The following is an 18,968-nucleotide window of genomic DNA, read 5'->3' as shown; positions in this document are numbered from 1 at the left end:
GGAGCTATTCACTCTGGGGGTGGTGAAGAAATCTGGGAGGGCCTCCTGAAGGAAGTGGCATTAAGGTGGGCTTTGAAGGATGCATAGGAGTTCTGTGAAATGGATACCCTTCTCTGAGGACTCTGAACTTATGGGTGGAGGGATTGATATTGGGGCAGAGCCAGGGAAAACACCAAATATTGCCAGGGCCATCCACCAGTCAGGAAGGACAATGGCCCCCAGAGCTGGATCAGGGAAGCCCCCTATTGAACCCAGGTTAATCCTTTCATGCTGGGGCATGGAGAGGCCTGGAGGGTCCCAAGGGAGCAGCTGGGCCATCAGAAGTGGGTAGTGGCTTTTTAAAAAAAATTTTATTTTATGTTTTTTAATTTTATTGTTTAAAAAAAATTATTTTGTTTTTTGAGACAGGGTCTCATTCTGTCACCCAGGCTGGAGTCCAGTGGTGCAATCTTGGCTCACTGCAGCCTTGACCTCCTCAGGCTCAGGTGATCCTCTCAGTTCAGCCTCCCAAGTAGCTGGGACTACAGGCATGCACCACCATGCCTGGCTTTTTTTTTTTTTTTTTTTTTTTTTTTTTTTTTTTTAAGAAACAGGATCTTGCCGTATTGTCCGGTCTGGTCTTAAACTCTTGGGCTCAAATTATCAGCCTGTCTCGGCCTCCCAAAGTGCTGCAATGACAGGGGTGAGCCACTGTGCCTGACCTAATTTTGTTTTAGAGACAGAGCCTCACTTTGTCACCCAGGCTGGAGTGCAGTGGTACAATCATAGCTCACTGTAGCCTTGACCTCCTGGGCTCAATAAATCCTCCTAACTTGGCATCCCAAAATGCTGGGATTACAGGTGTGAGCCATCATGGCTGGCTATTTTTTTACTTTTTTGTAGAGACAAGGTCTCCTTATGTTGTCCAGACTGGTCTTGGACTTCTGGGCTCAAGCAATTCACCCACCACACCCAGCCCTCTATTTCAACATTGTCTTTTTTTTCTTTCTTTCTTTCTTTTTTTTTTTTAAGATGAAGTTTTGCTCTTGTTGCCCAGGCTGGAGTGCAATGGTGCGATCTCGGCTCACTGTAACCTCTGCCTCCTGGGTTCAAGCGATTCTCCTGCCTCAGCCTCCTGAGTAGCTGAGATTACAGACATGCGCCACCATGCCCGGCTAATTTTTTGTATTTTTAGTAGAGATGGGTTTTACCATGTTGGTCAGGCTGGTCTTGAACTCCTGACCTCAGGTGATCTGACCGCCTCGGCCTCTCAAAGTGCAGGGATTACAGGTGTGAGCCACCGCGCCCAGCCGTATTTTTTTTTTTTTTTTTTTTTTTTGAGACAGAGTCTCGCTCTGTCATCCAGGCTGGAGTGCAGTGGTGTGATCTCAGCTCACTGCAGCCTCTACCTCCCAAGTTCAAGTGATTTCTCCTGCCTCAACCTCTCAAGTAGCTGGGATTACAGGCACACCACTATGCCTGGCTACTTTTTGTATTTTTAGCAGAGATGGGGTTTCACCATGTTGGCCAGGCTGGTCTTGAACTCCCGACCTCAAGTGATCTGCCCACCTCAGCCTCCCAAAGTGCTGGGTTTACAGGTGTGAGCCACTAGGCCTGGCCTATATTTCAACATTTTATTTTATTTTATTTTATTTTATTTTTTGAGATGGAGTCTTGCTCTGTCACCCAGGCTGGAGTGCAGTGGCGAGATCTCAGTTCACTGAAACCTCTGCCTCCTGGGTTCAAGTGATTCTTCTGCCTCAGCCTCCCGAATAGCTGGGATTACAGGCGTGCACCACCACACCTGGCTAATTTTTGTATTTTTAGTAAAGACAGGGTTTCACCACCTTGGCCAGGCTGGTCTTGAACTCCTGACCTCGTGATCCACCTGCCTCGGCCTCCCAAAGTACTGGGATTACAGGTGTGAGACACCATGCCAGGCCTTTTAATGGCCTTTAATGGCACGGCTACATTCTAATGGTTCTGGTTGGACCAGTGGTCCCAGGTGTGTATAATCAGGAGCTGGGGTGGGGCTGTGGCCGTGCTTAGGACCAGGGCAGGGTCAGAGCTGGGCTGTCTCACCAAGGACAAAGTACATCTCCCACGTGGCCTCCACTGACTGAAGTTGGGGCCCCAGGGCCCTGTCCCCACCTGTGCCATTAAGTGGCCCCGCCAGGATTAAGCACTTATCCCGGGTGTCTGAGCTCCAGTCTGGGAGGAAGAGAAGACCCCCCTGAGGAGGAGCATCCAGGAGCACCCTGGCCTGTCCAGCCGTTCAGGTGACCTTGCTGTCTCTGTGCAGATGGACCCAAGGCTTCCAGTGCTCCCTTTCCTCCACACTGTATAGAGAATGGGCAAGTCCCTCCTGCTGACATCCCAGCTCCTAAGCCCGTGTCCTAGAACACCCCACTTGGGCCTGCAGAACCCTTTCTACTTCCCTCTCACAGAATCTCGTTTGGGTTCCTTGTCCTGGTGGAGGCGGTATGCGCTCAAAACCCAGGTTCTAAAGTCCTGTGTGTGCGTGTGTTAGGCCTCAGTATCCTCATCTGGAAAATGGGTACTTTGCAGATGAGGAAACAGAGGCCCAGATTAGGGATGTCACTTGTTCAAAGTCACATGGCTGGGAAATGGTGGTGCTGGGCTTCAGTCCCAGGCATTATGACTCCAGAGCCCAACTATTTAACTCCTGCTCTACAGGGTCCCTTTAAACCACAGCAACAATTGCTATTGTTCAGTGATGGGAAAATATTGGCTAATTCATACTAAGGTCTTCATGATTGCTCGCAATCCGTGGAGATAACCAATCTAAAGGGCAATACAATTAACTGAGAACAATGCTACAGTGAAGGACTGGGAGGCCAGGCGGGGTGACTCAAGTCTCTAATCCCAGCCAAGGTCACAGGATTGAGCCCAGGAGGTCGATCACACCACTGCATGCAGCCTGGGTAACGAAGCAGTGTCTCAAAAAAAAAATAAAATAAAATAAAAAAGGGCCGGGTACGGTGCACGCCTGTAATCCCAGCACTTTGGGAGGCCGAGGCAGGTGGATCATCTGAGGTTGGGAGTTTGAGACCAGCCTGACCAACATGGAGAAACCCCGTTTCTACTAAAAATACAAAATTAGCCGGGCGTGGTGGCGCTTGCCTAAAATCCCAGCTACTTGGGAGGCTGAGGCAGGAGAATCGCTTGAACCCGGGAGGCAGAGGTTGCCGTGAGCCGAGATTGGGCCATTGCACTACAGCCTGGGCAACAGAGCAAAACTCTGTCTCAAAAAAAAAAAAAAAAAAAAAAAGGAAAAGAATTGGGAAACGGCACACCACAGTGGTTAGTGGTTAAGAACATGGATTTTGGATTACTGCCTGGATTCAAGTGGCACTTCCTAGCTGTGTGATCTTGAGAAAGTCACCTAACTTCTCTGTGTCTGTGTCCACATCTGTAAAATGAAGGTGATTTTAATAGTACCTACCTCCAGGGATTATTGTGAGGTTTTGTTTTATTTTGTTTTTTGAGACAGGGTTTCACTCTGCCACCCACACTGGGGTACAGTGGTGTGATCTTGGCTCACTGCTACCTCTGCCTCAGGGGCTCAAATGATCCTCCCACCTCAGCCTCCGAAGCATCTGGGATTACAGGCACACACCACCAAGCCCAGCTGATTTTGGTATGTTTTGTAGAAATGGGATTTCACCATGTTGCCCAGGCTGGTCTCGAACTCCTGGGCTCCAGCGATCCACCCGCCTTGGCCTCCCAAAGTGCTGGGATTCCAGGTGGGAGACACCGCGCCCAGCCTGTTGTGAGGTTTAAATGCAGAGAATACGCTAGGCCCAGGCACATGGTAAGCACTGTTATCAACCCTGTCATTGTAAGGAGGGGACTGATCATTAGCTCCTATGGTCACCATTTCTGGCCAGCAGGAAGTCCCTTAGGAACACTGAACCACAGCTCTTCAGATACAGAAAAGCCCCAAAGGGGCCAGGAGCAGTGGCTCACACCTGTGATCCCAGCATTTTGGGAGGCTGAGGCGGGTGGATCACCTGAGGTCACGAGTTCGAGACCAGCCTGGCCAATATGGTGAAACACCGTCTCTACTAAAAATACAAAAAATAATAACTGAGCATGGTGGCACATGCCTGTAATTCTAGCTAGTCGGGAGACTGAGGCAGGAGAATAGCTTGAACCCGGGAGGCAGAGGTTGCAGTGAGCCAAGATCGCGCCATTGCACTCCAGCCTGGGCAACAAGAGCGGAACTCCGCCTCAAAAAAAAAAAAAAAGCCCCAAAAGACACAGTGTACTTAACCCACCATGCGCCGCCCTCCCCGCCTTGTAGCCACACTAGCCTCCCCACCCAGCTGGCTCCTTGCCTCCCACCGTCTGTGGTCCGTTTCCCACTCAGCAGCCAGACAACGCCTTTTCTCACTCTCACCCTAACCTCCATCCACCCTGTTCTCTCTTCCTCTTTCCTCCAAAGGTTACCATTTTAAAAAGAAAATCAATTTCTTAGTATTACTGCAATATTTTTTTCTGCAAATACAAACAAGTGTGAAGCTATGTTCTAGTCACCCCTTTTGTACCAACAAGGCAGACATTCCGAACATTACTCTTTGCTTTTTTTAATTTTACTTTTTTTTAGAGACAGTCTCACTCTGTCACCCCGGCTGGAATGCAATGGTGCAATCATAACTTACTGCAGCCTCTAATTCCTGGGCTCAAGCAAGCCGCCTGCCTTAGCCTCCCACATAGCTGGGACTATAGGTGTGCACCACTATGCCCAGATAATTTTTAAATATTCTGTAGAGATGAGGTCTCACTATGTTGGTCAAGCTGTTCTCAAACTCCTGAGCTCAAGTGATCCTCCCGCCTCAGTCTCTCAAAGTGCAGGGATGACAGGCGTGAGACACCTTGCCGGCCATTTAACAACTTACCCTGGGCCAGGTGTGCTGGCTCATGCCTGTCATCCCAGCAATTTGGGAGGCCGAGTCAGGAGGATCACCTGAGGTCAGGAGTTCGAGACCAGCCTGGCCAATGTGGTGGAACCCCGTGTCTACTAAAAATACAGAAAAAAAAAATTAGCCGGATGTGGTGGTGCATGCCTGTAGTCCCAACCATTCCAGAGGCTGAGGCAGGAGAATTGCTTGAATCTGGGAGGCAGAGGTTGAAGTGAGCCGAGATCATGCCACTGCACTCCAGTCTGGGCGACAGAGCGAGACTCCGTCTCGGGGCGGGGGGCGGGGAGGCAGGGCCCAGTGGCTCACGCCTGTAATCCCAACACTGGGAGGCCGAGGCGGGCGGATCACAAGGTCAGGTGATCGAGACCATCCTGGCTAACAAGGTGAAACCCCGCCTCTACTAAAAATACAAAACAATTAGCCGGGCGTGGTGACAGGTGCCTGTACTCCCAGCTACTCAGGAGGCTGAGGCAGGAGAATGGAGTGAACCCAGGAGGCGGAGCTTGCCGTGAGTGGAGATCGCGCCACTGCATTCCAGCCTGGGTGACAGAGCGAGACTCCGTCTCAAAAAAACTAAATAAATAAAAAATTAAAACCCATCCTGAAGACATTTCATGTCACCACTTTTCACAGTCACCACTTTTCACAGCCTTTCCTTGGTAGTCCTCCTGGCCACACTGCGCCCTGTCACCTTCCTGCCTTCAGCCCTCTGCTGTCTGACCCTCACCCACACCAGCTTCTCTCCCGTCCTCAGACCCACCTACCGGCCCCTCCATGACCCGTGGCCACATTGCCTCTGCCTGCAGTTCTCCCCGTGTTTCTCTCATCCTCACCATCATGTAGATGTCATCTCAGAGAGGTGTTCTGCAGCACCTAATCTAAGGAGCACCCTCAGTCACTATCCTGTCACTTGACCGATCGATCGATTGATTGATTTTAATTTTTTTGGAGACGGAGTCTCACTCTGTTGCCCAAGCTGGAGTGCAGTGGCATGATCCCTACTCAATGCAACCTCCACCTCCTGGGTTCAAGCAATTCTCTGCTTCAGCCTCCCGAGTAGCTGGGATTATAGGCACCTGCCACCACGCCCAGCTAATTTCTTTGTATTTTTAGTAGAGACAGGGTTTCACCATCCTGGCCAGCCTGGTCTTGAACTCCTGACCTCATGATCCACCTGTCTCGGCCTCCCAAAGTGCTGAGATAACAGGTGTGAGCCACCGTGCCCTGCTGATTTATTTATTTTTTTATAGAATTTATTGGCCAGGCGTGGTGGCTCATGCCTGTAATCCTAGCACGTTGAGTGGCCGAGGTAGGAGGATCACTTGAGGCCAGGAGTTCCAGACCAGCCCAGGGGAGACCCTGTCTCTACAAAAAATAAAATTAGCTAGACGTGGTGGTGCATGCCTGTGTTCTTAGTTACTCTGGAGGCTGAGGTGGGAGTATTGCTTGAGCCCAGGAGTTTGAGGCTGCAGTGAGCTATGATTGCACCACTGCACTCCAGCCTGGGAAACACAGCAACACCCTATCTCAAAAAAAAAAATATTACACTCTGGTCTGTCTATTCTATTGTCTGTTCACCGCCCCCCACCACCATCTTCAGAATATTAGCTCCTCGCCTACCTTGAAAAGCGCTGTGTTCCTGTGTAGAACGGCGCCGGGCGCACAGTAGGCGCTTGCCCAAGAACCGTACTCCCAGGTGGCCACGTTGTCTCCAAGCACCGCAGCCCTCTACGTGTGGACGTGAGGCCTCAGCGCCCCCTCGTGGCTATGTGAATTGGTTTTATTTTATTTTATTTCTTTGTTTTGTTTTTTTTTTTTAATTTTCGTTTCTCCTTTTTACTTTTTCTGTTTTGTTTCTTTGTTTGTTTTTTGAGACAGAGTTTTTGCTCTTGTCCCCCATGCTGGAGCGCAATGGCGCGATCTCGGCTCACTGCAACTTCCACCTCCCAGGTTCAAGCGATTCTCCTGCCTCAGCCTCCTGAGTAGCTGGGACTACACACGCGCCACCATGCCTGGCTAATTTTTGTATTTTTAGTAGAGACGGGATTTCACCATATTAGTCAGGCTGGTCTCAAACTCCTGACGTCAGGTAATCCACTCACCTCGGCCTCCCAAAGTGCTGGGATTACAAGCGTGAGCCACCGCACCCGGCTGTTTTGTTTTCATATCTTATCTTTTTTTTTTTTTTTTTTTTTTTTTTTTAGAAAGGGGTCTTGCTCTGTCGCCCAGGCTGGAGCACAGCAGCACTATGATAGCTCACTGCAGCCTCGAAATCCTGAGTTCAAGCGATCCTACCTGCTTCAGCCTCCTGAGTACCTGGGACTACAGGCACCCGCATCATGCCCGGCTTGAAGTGGTTTTTGTTTGTTTGTTTGTTTTGAGACTGAGAATCGCTCTGTCACTGAGGCTGGAGTGCAGTGGCATGATCTCGGCTCAATGCAATCTCCGCCTCCCGGGTTCAAGCGATTCTCCTGCCTCAGCCTCCTCAGTAGCTGGGATTTCAGGCACGCGCCACCATGCCCGGCTAATTTTTGTATTTTTAGTAGAGACGGGGTTTCGACATGTTGGTCAGGCTGGTCTCGAACTCCTGACCTCATGATCTGCCCAAGAGTTTGCAGTGAGCCGAGATCCTGCCATTGCACTCTGGCCTGGGCCACAGAGCAAGACCTTCCTCTCAAACAAACAAAAAAAAGAATAATGTCTCCAGCTCCATCCAAGTGGCTGCAAAATACATGATTTCATTCCTTTTAACGGCTGTATATGTACCACATTTCCTTTATGCACTCATTGGTTGATGGGCAGAACTTTTTTTTGAGACACGGTCTCACTCTGTTGCCCAGGCTGGAGTGCAGTGGAACCATCATAGCTCACTGCACCCTCAAACTCCTGAGCTCAGGTGATCCTCCCACCTCAGCCTCCCAAGTAACTAGGACTACAGGCACGTGTCATCACACCTAATTTTTTTTTCCTTAGACGAAGTCTCGCTGCTGCCCACTGTGCCCGCCCACAGCAATCTTCATCAAAATTCCAGATGAACTTTGGGAGGCTGAGGCGGGTGGATCACCTGAGGTTAGGCGATCGAGACCAGCCTAACCAACATGGTGAAACCCCATGTCTAGTAAAAATACAAAAATTAGCAGAGTGTAGTGGTGCATGCCTGTAATCACAGCTACTTGGGAGGCTGAGGCAGGAGAATTGCTTGAACCCAGGAGGCGGAGGTTGCAGTGAGCCGAGATTGTGCCGCTTGGGTTCAAGCAATTCTCCTGCCTCAGCCTCTTGAGTAGTTGGGATTACAGGCATGAACCACCACGCCCGGCTAATTTTTTTGTATTTTTAGTAGAGAAGGGGTTTCATCATATTGGTCAGGCTGGTCTCGAACTCCTGACCTCATGTGATCCACCCACCTTGGCCTCCCAAAGTGCTGGGATTACAGGCGTGAGCCACCGCGCCCAGCCTTGGAGGCCATTATTCTAAGTAAAGTAACTGAGGAATGGAAAACCACAAACCGTATGTTCTCACTTGTAAGCGGGAGCTAAGGTATGAGGACACAATGGCATAAGAATGATATAATGGACTCTGGGACTTGGGGCAGGGAAGGTTGGGAGGTGGTGAGGGATAAAGACTACATACTGGATACAGTGTACACTCTTCCAGTGACAAGTGCACTAAAATCTCAGAAGTCACCACTAAAGAACTTATCCATGCCAGGCGCGGTGGCTCACGCCTGTAATCCCAGCACTTTGGGAGGCCGAGGCGGGTGGATCACGAAGTCAGGAGATTGAGACCATCCTGGCTAATATGTTGAAACCCCGTCTCTATTAAAAATACAAAAAAATTAGCCAGGCATGGTGGCGGGCGCCTGTAGTCCCAGCTACTCAGGAGGCTGAGGCAGGAGAACGGCATGAACCCGGGAGGCGGAGCTTGCAGTGAGCCGAGATCGCGCCACTGCACTCCAGCCTGGGTGACAAAGCAAGACTCCATCTCAAAAAAAAAAAAAAAAAAAGAGCTTATCCATGTAACCAAAAACCACCTGTACCCCAAAACTATTGAAATTTTTTAAAAAATTTAAAAATAATCCTACTAAAGTGTCCCTATGTAGCAGCACATACAAAAATAGACTCCAGATAGAATAAAGACCTAAATGTAGAGTATAACAATTGAGTTGGCTGGGCGCAGTGGCTCACACCTGTAATCCTAGCACTTTGGGAGGCCGAGGCAGGTGGATTGCTTGAGCTCAAGAGTTTGAGACCAGCCTGGGCAAGACGGTGAAACCCCGTCTCTACTAAAATACAAAAAATTAGCAGGACGTGGTGGCATGCACCTGTAATCCCAGCTACTCGGGAGGCTGAGGCAGGAGAATTGCTTGAACCCGGGAGGTGGAGGTTGCAGTGAGCCGGGATCACACCACTGCACTCCAGCCTGGGTGACAGATGGAGACTCCGTCTCAAAAAACACAAAAAAAACAACAAAAAACACCAATGGAGTTGATTATGGAAAATGGAAGAGAATATCACTGTGACATGCCAAATTATTTCTCACTCTCCCATCAAAAGGTGGTGTCTCATTCCCTTCCCCTTGTATTTTTTTTCTTTGAGACAGAGTCTCACTCTTTTTGCCCAGGCTGGAGTGCAGTGGCGCAATCTTGACTCACTATAATCTCTGCTTTCCGGGTTCAAGTGATTCTTGTGCGTCAGCCTCCTAAGTAGCTGGATTACAAGCGTGTGCCACCATGCCCGGCTAATTTTTGTATTTTTAGTAGAGATGGGGTTTTGCCATATTGTCCTGGCTGGTCTCGAACTCCTGACCTCAGGTGATCCGCCCCCCTAGGCCTCCCAAAGTGCTGGCAACTCTCTGTCTTCTGCAAGTGTGTGCCCTCATTGGTTAGCATGGTTGGAGGAAACACAAGTTTTCACTTTAAATTCCTGACCCTCCCCTCCAGGCGTCCACTGGGGTGGGAGCCACGCTCCATACCTCCCTTGCTCATAGTGAGGGTTCCAAGTGTGTCTCTCTCCTTTCCCCATCCTTGCTCACAAGCTTCACTAGAAGAGAACACCCTAATTCCCTCGTCTCCTGCCGACTGCCCCACCTCCTGGCTTCTGTGCTGGTAAGTGCTTTTGGGTCCTGTTGGGATGGATCAGCTGTCTCTAACGTCACCCCCCTTGGGGATTTCCCCCATTTTCTTTTTTTTTTTTTTCTTTTTTGAGATGGGGTCTCTGTCACCCAGGCTGGAGTGCAGTGGCACCATCATGGCTCCCTGAAACCTCAACCTCCTCGGGCTCAGATGATCCTCCCACCTTAACCTCCCAAGTAGTAGCTGGGATTACAGGCACGTGCCATCATGCCCGGCTACCTTTTTTTTTTTTTTTTTTTTTTTTGTAGAGACGGGGTTTTGCCATGTTGCCCAGGCTGGTCTCGAGCTCCTGGGCTGAAGTGATCTGCCCACCTCGGCCTCCCAAATTGAGCCACCGTGCCTGGCCTATTTTCCCCATTTTCTCTTGCTTCCTGAAGGTCATTGCTCCAGCAGGTCCCCAGCCCCCACGTACTCATTCCCACGGGCACACAGACACATCGTCACTTCTTCCACATTAAAACAAAATCACAACAAAAACTCTCTGGACTTCCTCCAGCTCCAGCCCCATTTCTCCGTTTCCTTTTACAGCAAAATTTCTCACAAGAGACGTTCTCAGTTCTCTCTTACACCATTTCCAATCAAATGTTCACATCTTGCTGTTCCTACTCTGGAAATGCTCTTGTCGGGGTCCCCATGGTGTTGGGTCCAACATCACACCTCCTGCTTGTCTTGACCTCTCAGCTACATCCGGTGCAACACTGGCTCCCACTCCCCTGAATGCTTTCTTTCTTTCTTTTTTCTTTTGAGATGGAGTTTTGCTCTTGTTGCCCAGGCTAGAGTGCAATGGCGTGATCTCAGCTCATCGCAACCTCTGCCTCCTAGGTTCAAGTGATTCTCCTGCCTCAGCCTCTGGAGTAGCTGGGATCATAGGCGGGTGCCACCACGCCCGGCAGTTCTGTAATTTTAGTAGAGATTGGGTTTCTCCATGTTGGTCAGGATGGTCTCAAACTCCCAACCTCAGGTGATCCACCCACCTAGGCCTCCCAAAGTGCTGGGATTACAGGCATAAGCTACCGTGCCCAGCGAATATTTTCTTTTCTTTTCTCTTTTTTTTTTTTTTTTTTTTTTGAGACAGAGTCTTACTCTGTCGCCCAGGCTGGAGTGCAGTGGCTCGATCTTGGCTCACTGCAACCTCCACCTCCCTGGTTCAAGCAATTCTCCTGCCTCAGCCTTCCGAGTAGCTGGGATTACAGGCACGCACCACCATGCCCAGCTAAGTTTTGTATTTTTAGTAGAGAAGGGGTTTCACCATATTGGCCAGGCTAGTCTCGATCTCCTGACCTTGTGATCCACCTGCCTTGGCCTCCCAAAGTGGTGGGATTACAGGCATGATCCACCGCGCCCAGCCAGCCACCGCGCCCGTCTGCTTTCTTTTTATAAAATGTTTATTTATTTTATTTATTTATTTTTGAGACGGAGCCTTGCTCTGTCTCCCAGGCTGGAGTGCAGTGGCACGATAGTGGCTTACTGCAACTTCCACCTCCCAGGATCAAGTGATTTTCCTGCCTCAGCCTCCCAAGTAGCTGGAATTACAAGCGTCTGCTACAGCGCCCAGATAATTTTTTGTATTTTTAGTAGAGACAGGGTTTCACCATGTTGGCCAGGCTGGTCTCGAACTCCTGACCTCAGTTGAACCATCTGCCTTGGCCTCCCGAAGTGCTGGGATTACAGGTGTGAGCCACCACTCCCGGCCTTATATTTATTTTTTTAAAAGAATCTCATTCTGTCGCCTAGGCTGGAGTGTAGTGGCGCAAGGCGTGATCATGGCTCACTGCAGCCTTGACCTCCCAGGCTCAGGTGATCCTCCCTCCTCAGCCTCCCCGGTAGCTGGGGCTGCAGGCGTGCACCACCATGCCCTGCTAATTTTCTTATTTGTTGTAGAGATGAGGGTCTCAATATATTGCTCAGGCTGATCTTGAAAACTCCTTGGCTCAAGAGATCCTTCCACCTCAGCCTCCCAGTGCTGGGCTTACAGGCTTGAGCCACCATGCCGGCCTGAATGTTTTCTCTCTTTTTTTTTTTTTTTGAGACAGAGTCTCGCTCTGTCGCCCAGGCTGGAGTGCAGTGACGCCATCTCGGCTCACTACAAGCTCCGCCTCCCAGGTTCACGCCATTCTCCTGCCTCAGCCTCTGGAGTAGCTGGGACTACAGGCGCCCGCCACCAGGCCCGGCTAATTTTTTGTATTTTTAGTAGAGACAGGGTTTCACCATATTGGCCAGGCTAGTCTCGAACTCCTGACCTTGTGATCCACCCGCTTGGCCTCCCCAAGTGCTGGGATTACAGGCGTGAGCCACCGCGCCCGGCCAACAGCCTGAATGTTTTCTTTACAGGGCCGCTGTCTCTGGCCTCCTCTCACCTCCTGCCTCCTCTGTCTCCGGCCTCGTTCTCACCTGGTTCCTCCTCACTCTCTCTCCTGTCAATGCTGGCCAGCCGGGGTCTCCAACTTTTGGAAGACTGTTGATGTTACCTAAAGTGAGAAGGCTGAGTGAGCTCCCCTGGGGAGAATGCCTGCATGGAGAAGATGACTTTAGGTACCATCAATGGTCTTCCAAAATTCTCTCCAGCCTGACCTCTTCTCTGACCTTCAGACTCACCCAGCAACAACACTTGGATGTCTGATGCGCATCTCAGACCCAACACCTCTGGATCTCCTGGCCTCTCCCTAACCTGCCCCTTTCTCATGCGGCCCCGTCTCAGGGGCCTCTGATTGCTCTGGTTACAGACCCTGGCATCATCCTCATTCTTGACACTCCACAGTCAGATTTGTAAATTATCCACCCTCAGATTCTGTCCACTCTGCTGAGGGAGGCAGAATCATGCCTCCCCAAAGAGATCCTAGTTCCGTAGAAGGAAAAAGAGTCTTTGCAGATGAGATTGAGTTAAGCATCTTAACATGGGGATCTGGCTGGGTGCGGTAGCTCATGCCTGTAATCGCAGGGTGTTGGGAGGCTGAGGTGGGAGGATCACTTGAGCCCAGGAGTTTGAACCAGCCCGGGCAACAAAATGAGACACTCTCTCTCCAAAAAAAAAAAAAAAAAAAAAAAAAGCTGGGTTTGGTGGCTCACGCCTCTAATCCCAGCACTTTGGGAAGCTGAGGTGGGCGGATCACGAGGTCAAGAGAATGAGACCATCCTGGCCAACATGGTGAAACCCTGTGTCTACTAAAAATACAAAAATTAGCTGGGCATGGTGGCATGTGCCTGTAATCCCAGCTACTCGGGAGGCTGAGGCAGGAGAATCGCTTGGACCTGGGAGGTGGAGGTTGCAGTAAGCCGAGATGGAGCCACTGCACTCCATCCTGGCGAGAGTGGGATTCCATCTCAAAAAAAAAAAAAAAAAAAAAAAAAAAGCTGGGCATGGTGGTGTGCACCTGTGGTCCCAGCTATTTGGGAGACTGAGGTGGGAGGATTGCTTGAGCCCAGGAGGTCAAGCCTGTAGTGAACTATGATGGTGCCACAGCACTCCAGCCTGGGTGACAGAGTGAGACTTTGTCTCAAAAAAAGAAGGGGGACCTGAGGGGAGGTAGATTCTCCTGAATTATCTAGGTGGGTTCCAAAAATGATCACATGTGCCCTTTAAGAGGGAGGCAGAGGGAGACTTGACATAGACAGAAGGTGCTGTGTAGGCAGAGCAGAGATGTGGAGATGCTGGCCTTGAAGACTGGCGTGATGTGGCCAAGCCCAGGACTGCCAGCAGCCCCCATAAGCTGGAATTGGAGAGGAACAGATTTTCCCCCAGAGCCTCCCAAAGGAACACAGCCCTGCCCACACCTTGCTTTCAGCCCAGTGACACTGACTTTGGACTTCTGGCCTCTACGCTGTGAGAGAATACATTTCTGTTTATTTTGCTTTGTTTTGTTTTGTTTTTGTTTTTGTTTTTGTTTTTTTTGAGACAAAGTATTGCAATGGCTCCATCACGACTCACTGCAACCTCCGCCTCCTGGGTTCATCAAGCAGTTCTCCTGCCTCAGCCTCCCGAGTAGCTGGGATTACAGGCATCCGCCACCACACTTCTTCACTCCTTCAAATCAATCTGTTTTATTTTTTAAAATTATTTTTTATTTGCTTCTTTTTTCTTTCTAGAATCTGTGTTCTGCTGAACCTATTTCTTCTTTTTCTTTTCTTTCTTTTTTTTTTTTTTTTTAGAGAGAGACTCTCTCTGTTGTCCAGGCTGCAGTGCAGTGGTGTGATCATAGCTCACTACTGCTTCCAACTTTCAGGCTCAAGTGATCTTCTTGCCTCAGCCTCCTGAGTAGCTGAGACTGCAGACATGCATTACCACACCCAGATAATTTTTGTATTTTTAGTAGAGACGGGGTTTCACCATGTTGGCCAGGCTGGTCTTGATCTCCTGACCTCAAGTGATCTGCCCTCCTCGGCCTCCCAAAGTGCTGGGATTCCAGGCATGACCCTTGCCCGCCCATTTCTGTTGTTTTAGGCCACCACTTTGGTGGTCATATAACAGCCACATTCTCTTACTTCCCATCCCTTTCTCATACCCACACTGTTGCTCCCCCTCCCCTCTGACCCATCTTGGCACCACTTCCCTGGTCTCTGCTCTCCCCTTTGCCTCCACAGTCTGCATCCCCACCAATAATCAGAGAGACCTTCCCTTCCCTTCCCTTCCCTTCCCTCCCCTCCCCTTCCCTTCCCTTTTTTTTTTTTTTTTTTTTTGAGACGGAGTCTCGCTTTGTCGCCAGGCTGGAGTGCCTTGGCGCAATGTCGGCTCACTGCAACCTCTGCCTCCTGGGTTCAAGCGATTCTCCTGCCTCAGCCTCCCGAGTAGCTGGGACTATAGGTGCGTGCCACCACGCCCAGCTAATTTTTGTATTTTTAGTAGACACGGGGTTTCACCATGTTGGCCAGGATGGTCTCAATCTTTTGACCTTGTGGTCCGCCTGCCTCGGCCTCCCAAAGTGCTGGGATTTCAGGCTTGAGCCACTGTGCCCAGCCTGAGCCACCGCTCCCAGCCTGATATATCTTTCTTTCTTATTTTTTTTTTGAGCCAGAGTCTCACTCTCCTGTCTGTGTCAAGTCTCCCTCAGCACCCCAGGCTGGAGTGCAGTGGCACAATCATAGCTCACTACTGCCTCGACCTTAGCAGTCATGTCTCCTTCAGAAGCCCAGGCTGGGCTCCAGTGATCCTCCTGCCTCAGCCTCCTGAATAGCTGGGAGTATAAGTGCCCCTCACCACACTTGGCTAATTTATTTTTAATCTTTTGTAGAGATGGGGTCTCACTATGTTGCCTTGTCTGGTCTCAAACTCCTGGGCTCAAACAATCCTCCTGGCCAGGCACGGTGGCTCATGCCTGTAATCCCAGCCCTTTGGCAGGCCGAGGTGGGTGGATCATTTGAGGTCAGGAGTTCGAGATCAGCTTGCCCAACATGGTGAGACCCCATCTCTACTAAAAATACAAAAATTAGTCAGATGTGGTGACGCATGCCTGTAGTCCCAGCTACTTGGGAGGCTGAGGCAGGAGAATCACTTGAACCAAGGAGGAGGAGGTTGAAGTGAGCTGAGATGGCGCCCCTGAACTCCAGCCTGGGCGACGGAGTGAGACTCTGTTTCAAAATCAAGCAAAAAAAAAAAAAAAAAAAAAAAAAAAAAATCCTCCCACCTTGGCCTCCCAAAGTGCTGGGATGCTGGGATTACAGGCTTGAGCCACCACACCCAACCAGATCTGGGTTCGAATCCTACTTCTCCCTGCCATGAAGGTTGAGGGCTTCCCGTCTCAGCTCATTGCTGACATTTGGGTGCCTGCTTCCCAAGTGTGGTCTGTATGATTCAGTGATGTGTGTAGCTTGTTAAAGCTCAGTACAGGTCCTGACTCAGGAGGAGCTGAACCAATGAGTCTTTATTTGCTGTTACGATTATTACTGTTGCTGCCCTGATACTGCATGGCCCCCCAGCCCCACCTCTTCTGCGCCTCAGCATCCCCATCTGGGCAGGAAACTTTTTTTTTTTTTTTTTTTTTGATACAGGGTCTCACTCTTGTTGCCCAGGCTGGAGTGCAGGTGGCATGATCTCAGCCCACTGCAGTGTCTGCCTCCTGGGTTCAAGCTATTATCCTACCTCAACCTCCTGAGTAGCTGGGATTACAGGCACCTGCCACCATGCTCAGCCAGTTATTTTTTGTACTTTTAGTAGAGACAGGGTTTCACCATGTTGGCCAGGCTGGTCTTGAACTCCTGACCTCAGGTGATCCGCCTGCCTCCGCCTCCCAAAGTGCTGGGGTTACAGGCGTGAGCCACCGCACTGGGCCTGGGCAGGAAACTTCTGAAAGGTACATCTGAACATCCCAAGGGCCACTTAGGGAAGGCTTCCTCTGAATTGTAGCGGGCAGGAGAGGGGAGAAGTGGCTGTTAGCAGTTGCATTTCCTTCAGAGGCCAAAGCTGGACCCAGTGGGTATGGGGCAGAGTTTTCTGTGATTCCAGGTCCACCGGAACCTTGGATTAGAGGCGTGTGTGTGTGAGAGAGAGAAGGAGAGGGAGATACCCTGGTGACCAGGTCCTGGGCAGGGTCTGAGGCTCAGGGTTGGGGGCCCAGTGTCTCTGCGGGCAGCCCCATGGCCTGCAGGATGTCTCCCGGATCTGAGGCTTCCGAAGCAGCCTCTGCTGGACAAAGACTGGGGCCACAGCGCCCTCTGGTGGGCAAACCCTTGGGTTCCAGGGTTAGGAGAAGTGACCACAGGTTGAGACTTTTAGGGTTTGTTCCTCAAAGCTTGAGTGATGGGCATTAAGAAGATCAGGCATTAAGGCCCCAAGAGGTCAGAGCAGGAACCTTGCCCTGTGTCTGGGTAGATCAGGGGGTCAGGACTCAAAAGGATTCACATGCAGGCCGGGTGTCCTCTCCTCCAGGAAGGCATCCCTGACTGTCAGGCTAGGCCAGGAGACAGCCGCCTCTGGGCTCCCACAGTGCCCTGTGTCTCCCCCGCTCCAGCCCCGACCCCTCTGCCTGTGCCCCCCAATCCCTGCCCGGACCCCTCTGCCTGTGTCCTCCTTGTCCCAGCCCCGACCCCTCTGCCTGTGCCCCCCAATCCCGGCCCGGACCCCTCTGCCTGTGTCCCCCTTGTCCCAGCTCCGACCCCTCCGCCTGTGCTCCCCATCCCACCTGGACCCCTCTGTCTGTGCTCCCCATCCCACCTGGGCCCCTCTGCCTGAGTCCCCCTTGTCCCAAACCCAACCCCTCTGCCTGTGCTCCCCAATCCTGGCCCAGACCCCTCTGCCTGTGTCCCCCTTGTCCCAGCCCCGACCCCTCTGCCTGTGTCCCCTAACCCCACCTGGACCCCTCTGGACATCACTGTCTGGTGATGAGTCTGTTACTCTTCTGGACTCCAAGCTTAAGGCAAAGTCTGGGGCCATCTTATTTGCTGCTGTGTCCCCAGCACATCCACAGAGGGATGGAGACCATCATCGTTCTCTAGAAATGAGTGGATGTGACATTTATTTATTTATTTATTTTGGGATGGAGTCTCACTCTGTTGCTCAGACTAGAGTGCAGTGGTGCCATCTCAGCTCACTGCAGCCTCCACTTCCTGAGTTCAAGTGATTCTCCTGCCTCAGCCTCCCTAATAGCTGGGACTACAGGCGCCCGCCACCACGCCCGGCTAATTTTTGTATTTTTAGTAGAGACAGGGTTACACCATGTTGGCCAGGCTGGTCTCAAACTCCTGACCTCAGGTGATCCACCCTCCTCGGCCTCCCAAAGTGTTGGGATTATAGGCATGAGGCACCGCGCCCGGCCAAGTGTGCCTTTTAATGTATCCCTTCTCTCTGCCTTGAAGCCTTAGGTCCAGATGCTGTGCTGGGCACTTTTCCTTAAAAAAGGCCCCAAATTTGCCCCTCACTTCAGGTTGTCCAAGTGTCCATATGGGGTAGGGCAGAGCCTGGATCCCACCTGATTCTCTTCATGCTGGGTGCATGCTTTTGGACACTGGGGAGAGGCATGGAGCATGACTAATTGATACATTTATTTTATTTTATTATTTTATTTTGAGATGGAGTTTTTTGCTCTTTTGCCCAGGCTGGAGTGAAGTGGCACAATCTCGACTCACTGCAACCTCCGCCCCCTGGGTTCAAGTGATTCTCTTGCCTCAGCCTCTTGAGTGGCTGGGATTACAGGCACGTGCCACCACACCTGGCTTATTTTTGTATTTTTAGTAGAGCTGGGGTTTCACTGTGTTGGCCAGTTGGTCCCTAACTCTTAACTTCAGGTGATCCACCCGCCTCGGGCTCCCAAAGTGCTAGGATTACAAACATGAGCAAACTGCACCTGGCCAATACATTTATTTATTCATAATTTTGGCTGGGTGTTGTGGCTCGCGCCTGTAACCCCAGCACTTTGGGAGGCTGAGGCAGGAGGCTAGGGGCTGCAATTTTAGCTAGGGTTGTGTCTGAGGAGGTGGCATTTAACCGGAGACCTGAATGAAGTGCGGGATGGAGTGAGGCAGGTGTCTGTGGGAGGAGCACTCTAGGCAGAGGTGCAAAGGTCCTGTGGCTGGAGTGGGATTGGAATGTTCCAGAAATAGGGAGGAAGCTAGTGGGGCTGGAGTGAAGTTAGCCAAGGGAAGGAAGGAGGTGAAAGAGGCCAGAAATGTGATGAGGGTTGAGGAGGGATGGAGGAGGGCGTAGCGAGGGCTTTGCATTTTATTCAAATTATGAAAGAAGCCGCTGGAGGTTTGAGCCAGAGAGTGGTTGGATGCAGATATATGCTTAATTAATTAATCATTATTATTATTAGTTGAGATGGAATCTCTCTTTTGCCCAGGCTGGAGTGCAGCAGTGCGATCTTGGCTCGCTGCAACCTCTGTCTCTCAGGTTCAAGCGATTCTCCTGCCTCAGCCTTCCGAGTAGCTGGGATTACAGGCATGCACCACCACAGCTGGCTAATTTTTGTATTTTTAGTAGAGAT

At 50.8% G+C, this 18,968-nt stretch overlaps 3 annotated features.

Annotated features, from left to right (window-relative positions):
* Positions 5,560-6,436: an enhancer, noted in NCBI's record as "H3K4me1 hESC enhancer chr19:38734884-38735760 (GRCh37/hg19 assembly coordinates)". NCBI's record gives its function as "activates a minimal SCP1, AML or CMV promoter by ChIP-STARR-seq in primed H9 embryonic stem cells {active_cell/tissue: H9 hESC(primed)}" and the evidence as "EXISTENCE:reporter gene assay evidence [ECO:0000049][PMID:30033119]".
* Positions 11,676-12,175: an enhancer, noted in NCBI's record as "H3K4me1 hESC enhancer chr19:38729145-38729644 (GRCh37/hg19 assembly coordinates)". NCBI's record gives its function as "activates a minimal SCP1, AML or CMV promoter by ChIP-STARR-seq in primed H9 embryonic stem cells {active_cell/tissue: H9 hESC(primed)}" and the evidence as "EXISTENCE:reporter gene assay evidence [ECO:0000049][PMID:30033119]".
* Positions 16,414-16,463: an enhancer, noted in NCBI's record as "active region_14569". NCBI's record gives its function as "activates an Ori minimal core promoter by ATAC-STARR-seq in GM12878 lymphoblastoid cells {active_cell/tissue: GM12878}" and the evidence as "EXISTENCE:reporter gene assay evidence [ECO:0000049][PMID:35858748]".

Source organism: Homo sapiens, chromosome 19 (assembly GCF_000001405.40).
Source record: "Homo sapiens chromosome 19, GRCh38.p14 Primary Assembly".
Taxonomy (NCBI): Eukaryota; Metazoa; Chordata; class Mammalia; order Primates; family Hominidae; genus Homo; species Homo sapiens.
This window is presented reverse-complemented; position numbering and strand designations above follow the sequence as displayed.